General features: G+C 39.8%; 2 annotated features.

Moving 5' to 3' along the window:
* Positions 301-501: a silencer, noted in NCBI's record as "peak5614 fragment used in MPRA reporter construct". NCBI's record gives its function as "represses an SCP1 promoter by STARR-seq MPRAs in K562 erythroleukemia cells {active_cell/tissue: K562}" and the evidence as "EXISTENCE:reporter gene assay evidence [ECO:0000049][PMID:32103011]".
* Positions 3,423-3,492: an enhancer, noted in NCBI's record as "active region_23814". NCBI's record gives its function as "activates an Ori minimal core promoter by ATAC-STARR-seq in GM12878 lymphoblastoid cells {active_cell/tissue: GM12878}" and the evidence as "EXISTENCE:reporter gene assay evidence [ECO:0000049][PMID:35858748]".

Below are 8,051 nucleotides of genomic sequence, written 5' to 3'. Positions count from 1 at the left end.
CTAGCACCAGGCACAGAGAGATGAGCAAACCAGCGCTGATCACAGGCCCTACCGGAGCTGGAGGACATGAAACCTTCCCAGGCGTGTCTCTCCCATCCCATTCTCATGGTGGAAGGATGAAAGGCCATTGTTTGACCTTAAACTCCCCAACCTCCACGTCAGCCAGGCCACAGTAGAGTGGATTGGAATGGGAATCACAATTATTCCCTAGGAATTCAGAATGGAGACTTAGACAGAGTTTGTCTCGTATATAAAATGCTGTGGTTGTCGAGGCTATTTTCCATGAAGTAGCAGCTATGGCCAAAGTGAAGAATGAAGCAGGCTGCCAAAAAGACATGGAAACAGAAACGGAGAAGTGACTTTCTGGTTCCCCTCCACATTCAGGGTAATGTCTCTAGCCTTTTACTGAGGCCCAGTTGTATTCCTGCTTATGACTTTTATGAAATACTTCAACTCCTGTAGTATTACAGCAAATCTACCCCTTTGCTTAAGTTAGTCCCAGTCGAGGCTTGACAGTGTCCTTGCTCATAAGCAGATCTCAACTTAGTCAGACAGACTGAGAAATACACTGCAGGACATGGTACTTCACAGAGTGATAGGACCTCAGTTCCTGCATCCCTGGCACATGGTAGGAACCCAATGGCATGCGTGTTGACTTCACAACCAAATGAGTGAAGGAAGCGCAATGAGACCCTGACTCATTTTTTTCCCCAAGTTCCTTCTCTGATAGGATCCTTAGAAATCATCTGGGGCTGGGCAGCGGCTCACGTCTGTAAATCTAGCATTTTGGGAGGCCGAGGTGGGAGGATTGCTTGAGCCCAGGAGCTCAAGACCAGCCGGGACGACATAGTGAGACCCTGTTTCTACAAAAATTAAATAGCTGGGCATGATGGTGTGTGTCTGTAGTCCCAGCTACTTGAGAGGCCAAGATGGGAAGATCGCTTGAACCCAGGAGGTCAGGGGCTGTGTGATTGTGCCAGTCCTGGGCAACAGAGCAAGACCCTCTCTCAAAAACAAAGCAAACAAACAAAAAAGAAATAATTTGGTTCAAATGTGTCTTCTACAGAAGAGGAGGCTGAGTCCAGTGAGGTAGAAATCATTTGCTCAAGGTCACACAGCTATACCTGCTGCAGAACTGAAGCTATAATTCACGTCTCTAAGCTCTAAATCCAACGTCCTTTCCACTATCCCAGGATGCCCCCTTCCTGCCGAACCAACTTTCGTTGACCTCAAGAAGGCAAAAAGCCCCCAAAGTCAACCTCCCCTCTTTAAAACCTCTTTAATACAGATTCATAATTCAGCCATCATGCAGAAAAGCACTCAGAAAGGAAATTCCTGATGCTGCTCACCATGGGCTTGGCCAGCCACAGACATGATCCAGCCCATGGGGGAGCCGCCCCGTGCTGGCGTGTCATGAAGACACCAGTATGAGGCAACCGAGACAGCCCACAAAAGGATTCTTGGTTTTATTGTCCCTTGAGACGGGATTGTTCTCTGCCCTTGCCGGTTTTGCATGCTTCTTAAACCCTGTTTGAATAAATGAAGAATTAATTATGAATAAATGAAGACTTAATTTCCCCAAAATGGATGAGCCAAGCCATTCCCTCTAGTACAAAGATGTGAAAGGCATATCTGAGTGGGATCTGGGAGGGACTTAAAAATAAAACAAAATAAATCAGCTTGTTAATCAGGAGACACAAAGTGAAAACCCCACGTTAAAAAGGGAGGCAAGGGAATGATGGACAAGGATTTAGAGTCACAGTTACCAGCCTGCGAGTCAGGTGGGGCGAAGCAGGGACAGAAGGTCGCAAAGGAGCAGAAAATCTGAGTTAAATTGTCATTGTCCGGCAGGGCATGGTGGCTCACGTGTGTAATCCCAGCACTTTGGGAGGCTGAGGTGGGGGGATCACCTGACGTCAGGAGTTCGAGATCAGCCTGGCCAACATGATGAAATCCTGTCTCTACTAAAAACACAAAAATTAGCCGGGTGTGATGGCGCATGCCTGTAATCCCAGCTACTCAGGAGGCTGAGGCAGGAGAATTGCTTGAGCCTGGGAGGCAGAGGTTGCAGTGAGCCGAGGTCATGCCACTGCCCTCCAGCCTGGGCGACAGAGTGAGACTGTGTCTCAAAAAAAAAAAAAATTCATAGTCCTGGCTTATGGATCAGTGGTGATGGGTGGTGGGTCCGTGGGTGTTTTTTTTGTATTATTAGAAATAAATAAATGAGTAAATTAATAGAAAAGGGCCGTGCATGGGCCAGTGGGGAAGTGTGTGGTGAAGCAAGAATTATGAGTCATCTGATTCTGTGCAACCGAGGCCCATGAATGAAACAGTAAAATAAAGCGTAATTAAGGTGCCAACATAATTTCCTCTCCAACTAGAAAATAAACACTTCATGGCATCCCTAAGAGTTTTGGATTTATTATGATTTTACCTGTTGAGATAAATAATCTGTCACTGTAGGTAGAAATTGAAAGTCTCTTTGGTCTGTTTAATATCTGTGTTAAGCTGTCATACATGCATGTCAGCTGTAATTTATAGAATAATAGAAACAATAATGCCTGGCTTACCATTCTAGAATAAGACACTCTACGCTGACCTTGGGTTTCCTGTGTATGGCTTACAAGATCAGACTGACATGCTAAAATTTGTTTTCGTTTCAGTTATGAAATAATTAAGGACAGGCTTTTTCAGGTCCTTCAGTGTTGTTTAAATGAATGAGAAGGTATGTTTCTTTGACTTTCTGAAACAGGGTTTAAGAAGCATGCAAAACTTAGAAGGAAAACAAGAACAAACTGACTAAGGAAGCATTTTGAATGAGTTCGGGTGCAGTGAAATCCTTCGGTGGGCAACTATTAGATCATTTCTGTGCAATCAAATCTTCTAGACTGAATAAAGATAAGCCAGCTTCATCTTAGAGAAAAAGAAACTTTTTGATATATGAGATAATCACAATGCAGAGGTAGATGAGGGAGAGTTTAAGGGGACGGTTTGCAGAAAAGGCTGTCGAATCCCTAAAAATAACAAGGCACTGCCACAGTCATTGGAAAACTCAAATCCTGAGGTGAGGTAATACTAGGAAAATGCTAAGTTCACTAAAATAGTTTTTTCCGCTGCAGTTTAAACACAAGTTTAGAGAGTATTTTTGTTGCTGATGGTGGTTGGTTTTGTTTTTTAAAGTATATTAAAGAAAAAATAATTCATCTCCTTCTAATAACAACAAAATTGAGACCTCTGTTGCAAGGATGAAATGATGGATTATCTCCTCTCTTTATCAAATCATCACTCTGGAATTAATATAAGAATCATAATCTTATTTACCTAGCTCTGTGTGAAAGTGGTCATCTATCAATATATGTGACATTTCATTCAGTAAGAAAGGAAAGAAACTTGCAACCAACTTTCAGGGAAGAAATAACATTTCCTCTGAACAATTCTAAGGAGGAAGGCAAAGTAGAGTTTCATGTTCTCAATTCTGCTGAAGATATGAATCATCACACCTTTGCTAGCAGTTACATGTCATAAGGGCTTTGAGATGCCAAGTGAGTCAAGCCCATTTGTGACATTTGATAGGCCTACTTTTTATCCATGTGGCACTACAGAATGGATTCAAATCTCACTAGAACAATCTTTCTCTTTCTCTCGCTCAGTCTTTTTCTTCTGTGTTTTTCTAGAGTCGAGAAGTTTTAAAGAGGAGGGGCTAGGAGACCAAACATATCAAAAGAAGCCATGGGGGAGCAAAATCCAAAGGAATCTGTCGCATGTAAAGAGATAATATTTTTGCTTTCTTGTTTTTCCTATAGTTGCTGTCAAGGAGATGAGCCCAAGTAATAAGGAGGATAGGTAGATGACAGGGATGGGGAGAAACTTCAAATTAACATTTTTATTTTAACATGTGTATACCAGACACAAACTATTGAAGCCGAGAGAGGGGTAAATAAGAAATACGAATAGACATGTAGCAGGTAAGGAGATTGAATTGGTAATTAAAAACTTCCTACCAAAAAGCTCAGACTCACATGGCTTCATTGGTGAATTCTATCAAATGCAGAATTAGCAACAATCTCTCATAAACTTTTTTTTTTTTCCTTAGACGGAGTTTCGCTCTTGTTGCCCAGGCTGGAGTGCAGTGGTGTGATCTCGGCTCACTGCAACCTCCACCTCCCGGGTTCAAGCAATTCTCCTGCCTCAGCCTCCTGAGTAGCTGGGATTACAGGCATGTGCCACCACACCTGGCTAATTTTGTATTTTTAGTAGAGATGGGGTTTCTCCATGTTGGTCAGGCTGGTCTCGAACTCTCAACCTCAAGCGATCCGCCTGCCTCAGCCTCCCAAAGTGCTGGGATTACAAGCATGAGCCACCACGCCCGGACCCTCTCATAAACTCTTAAAAAGAGAAGAGGAGGAAACACTTTTCACCTTATTCTATGTCGCCAGTATTACCCTGATACCAAAACCAGTCAAAGATATCATAAGAAAAGTACAAACCAATATCCCTTATACATATCAATACAAACATCCTCAACAAAACACAAACTGAATCCAATGAGATTCATCCAAAGAAGATAAGGATGCTTTAACTTTGAAAAATCAGTCAATGTAATGCACTGTATTAATAGCATGACAACAAAACCACATAGTCATCTGAAGAGATGGGAAAAAAAGCATTTTACAAAATTTAACAATCTTTCATAATACAAACACACAAAAACTAAGAATAGAAGGGAACTTCCTCCACCTGATCAAGGGAATCTACAAACAAACCACACCTAACATTACACATGTGGTAAAAGACAGAATGTTTTTGCCCTAAGGAAGTCCACTCTCACCACTTCTATTCAACATTGCAATGGAGGATCAAGCCAGGACAATTAGACAAGAAAGAAAAGTGAAAGACATCAGATGGGAAAGAAAGAAGTAAAACTATCTCTGTTTGTAGATGACATGATCTAATATTAAAAATTCTAAGCATGCCACAAAATAAACTATTAGGCATATAAAATTAGTTCATTAAGGTTGCTGGGTAGCAGATCAATATACAAAAGTCGGTTGGTTCTATACACTAGCAATGAACAATTTGAAAATAAAAGTAAGAAAATAGTTCCATTTATAATAGTATCAAAAAGAATAAAATATTTTAAGGATAGATTTTTCCAAAAAATTCAAGACTTCTACACTGAAAACTATAGTACAAAACATCATTGGAAGAATTACAGAGGATCTAAATTAATGGAAGACATCTCATGAACATAGATTGGAATACTCAATACTTATTGTTAAGACGGCAGTACTCCCCAAATTGATCTACAGATTCAATATAATCCCTATCATTATCCCAGCTGGCTTTTTTTTTTCGGCAGAAACTGACAAGCTTATTATACAATTCATACGGAAAGGCAAGGCACCAAGAATAACCAGAACAATCTTGAAAAATTAAAACAAAGTTGAAAGACTCACACGTCCTGATTTTAAAGCTTACTACAAAGTGACAGTAAGCAAGACAGTGTGGTACTAGCCGGACATGTAGATCAATGGAAGAGAATTTAGAGTCCAGAAATAAATCCTTATGTTTGTGGCCAATCAATTTTGACAAATAGAGCTACCCTAGAATCCAGCAATCCCACTGCTGGGTATATACCCAAAAGAAAGAAAATCACTATACTGAAGAGATGTCTGCATGCCCATGTTTATTGCAGCACTATTCACAATAGCCAAGATCTGGAAGCAACCTAAGTATCCATCAATAGATGAATGGATAAAGGATATGTGGTACATATACACAATAAAGTACTATTCAGCCATAGAAAAGAATTAGATGCTGTAATATGCATGGGACTGGAGGTCATCATGTTAAGTGAGACAAGCCAGGCACTGACTGACAAACTTTGCATGTTCTCACTCACTTGTGAAAGCTAAAAATTAAAACAGTTGAATTCATGGAGATACAGAGGGGAAGAATGGTTCCCAGAAGGTAGTAAGGGCTGGGGTGGGGAGGACAGAAGGATGGTTAAAGTGTACACAAATATAGTTAGAATGGGTGGGTGCGGTGGCTCATGCCTGTAATCCCAGCACTTTTGGAGGCCGAGGCAGGTGGATCACTTGAGGTCAGGAGTTCGAAACCAGCCTGACCAATATGCTGAAACCCTGTCTCTTCTAAAAATACAAAAATAAGCCGGGCATGGTGGCGTGCATCTGTAGTCCCAGCTACTTGGGAGGCTGAGGCAAGAGAATCACTTGAACCCAGGAGGCGGAGGTTGCAGTGAGCTAAGATCATGCCACTGCACTCCAGCCTGGGTGACAGAGCGAGACTCCATCTACAAAAAAAAAAAAAAAGAAATATATATATTTCTTTTCTATTTATACATATGTATATATATGAATTAGAATATATGTATATATTCTAATATATATATTAGAATGAATAAGATCTAGTATTTGATATCACAACAGGGTGACTACAGTCAACAATAATTTATTGTACATTTTAAAATACCTAACAGATTATAATTGGATTGTTTGTAACACAAAGCTATGACAAATGCTTTAGGAGATGGATACCCCGTTTACCCTGATGTGATTGTTATACATTATATGCCTGTATCAAAATGTTTCATGTACTGCATAAATACATACACCTACTATGTACCCACAAAATTAAAAATTAAAATATTTTTAAAAATTAGGAAATTATTAGACTCATAGATATAATTTTAAATTAGAAATTAGAAAATCAAGCACGGGTGGTTTTATGAGTAGGTCCAGTATTACCCTCCTCTCTCTAGATCTTTTTAACAAATGGTGCTGGGAAAACTGAATATCAACATGCAAAAGAATAAAGTTGGACTCCTTTCTTACATACACAAAAATTAAATCCATATGAGTCATAAACCTTAATGTGAGAGCTAAAACTATACACTCTTAGAAGAAGTACTAAAGGTAAATTTTAATATCCTTGAGTTAGGTAAAGTCTTCCTAGATAAAACAACAAAGCAAAAGTGGCAAATGAAAAAAAAAGATTGATTGGACTTGATCAAAATTAAAAACTTTTGTTCTGCAAAAGACACCATCAGGTTAAAAAAAAAAACCCCACAAAATGGGAAAAATATTTGCAAATCAAATATATTCAGAATAGAAGGGTAACTTGCTTCTAGAATAAGTACAGAACATCTACAACTCAATAATAAAAAGAAAAATAAGCTATTTTTTAAAAAAATGCACAAAGGATCTGAACAGACATTTCTCTAAGAAAGATATATAAATGGCCAACAAGAATATGAAAAGATGCCCAAAAATTATCCACCATTAGGGAAGTGAAAATCAAAACCACAATGAGATATCACTTCACACCCATGAGGATGGCTATAATTAGACAAATAATAGTAAGTATTGGCCAGGCGCTGTGGCTCCCGCCTGTAATCCTAGCACTTTGGGAGGCCAAGGCAGGCAGATTACGAGGTCAGGAGTTCGAGACCAGCCTGACCAACATGGTGAAACCTCATCTCCACTAAAATACAAAAATTAGCCGGGCGTGGTGGTGCTTGCCTGTAATCCCAGCTACTCAGGAGGCTGAAGCAGGAGAATCGCTTGAACCCGGGAGGCGGAGTTTGCAGTGAGCTGAGATCACGCCATTGCACTCCAAATAGAGTGAGACTCCATCTCAAAAAAAATAGTAAGTATTGGCAAGGACACGAAAAATTGGAACCCTCTTAGTTTACCATGGGAATGTAAAATGGTGCAGCCACTTTGGAAAACAGTGTGTCAGTTACCCACAATATTAAACAGAGTTCTTATATTACCTAAAAATTCTACTCCTGGGTGTATACCCCAGAAATCAAAACATATGTCTACGTAACATTTGTACATAAATGTTCATAGTAGCAGCATTTTTTGTAATAGCCAAAGAGTAGAAACAACCCAAATGTCTATCAACTGATGAGTGACTAAACAGAATGTGGTCTATCCATACAAGAGACTATTAGCCACAAAAGCAAATGAAGTTCTTATCCATGGCACGGCGCTAATGACCCCCAAAGACCTTGAAAATGTGAAGTG

This window comes from Homo sapiens, chromosome 6 (genome assembly GCF_000001405.40).
Source record: "Homo sapiens chromosome 6, GRCh38.p14 Primary Assembly".
Classification (NCBI taxonomy): domain Eukaryota; kingdom Metazoa; phylum Chordata; class Mammalia; order Primates; family Hominidae; genus Homo; species Homo sapiens.
The sequence above is the reverse complement of the archived record's forward strand: the minus strand, read 5'-3'. Positions and strand labels throughout refer to the sequence as shown.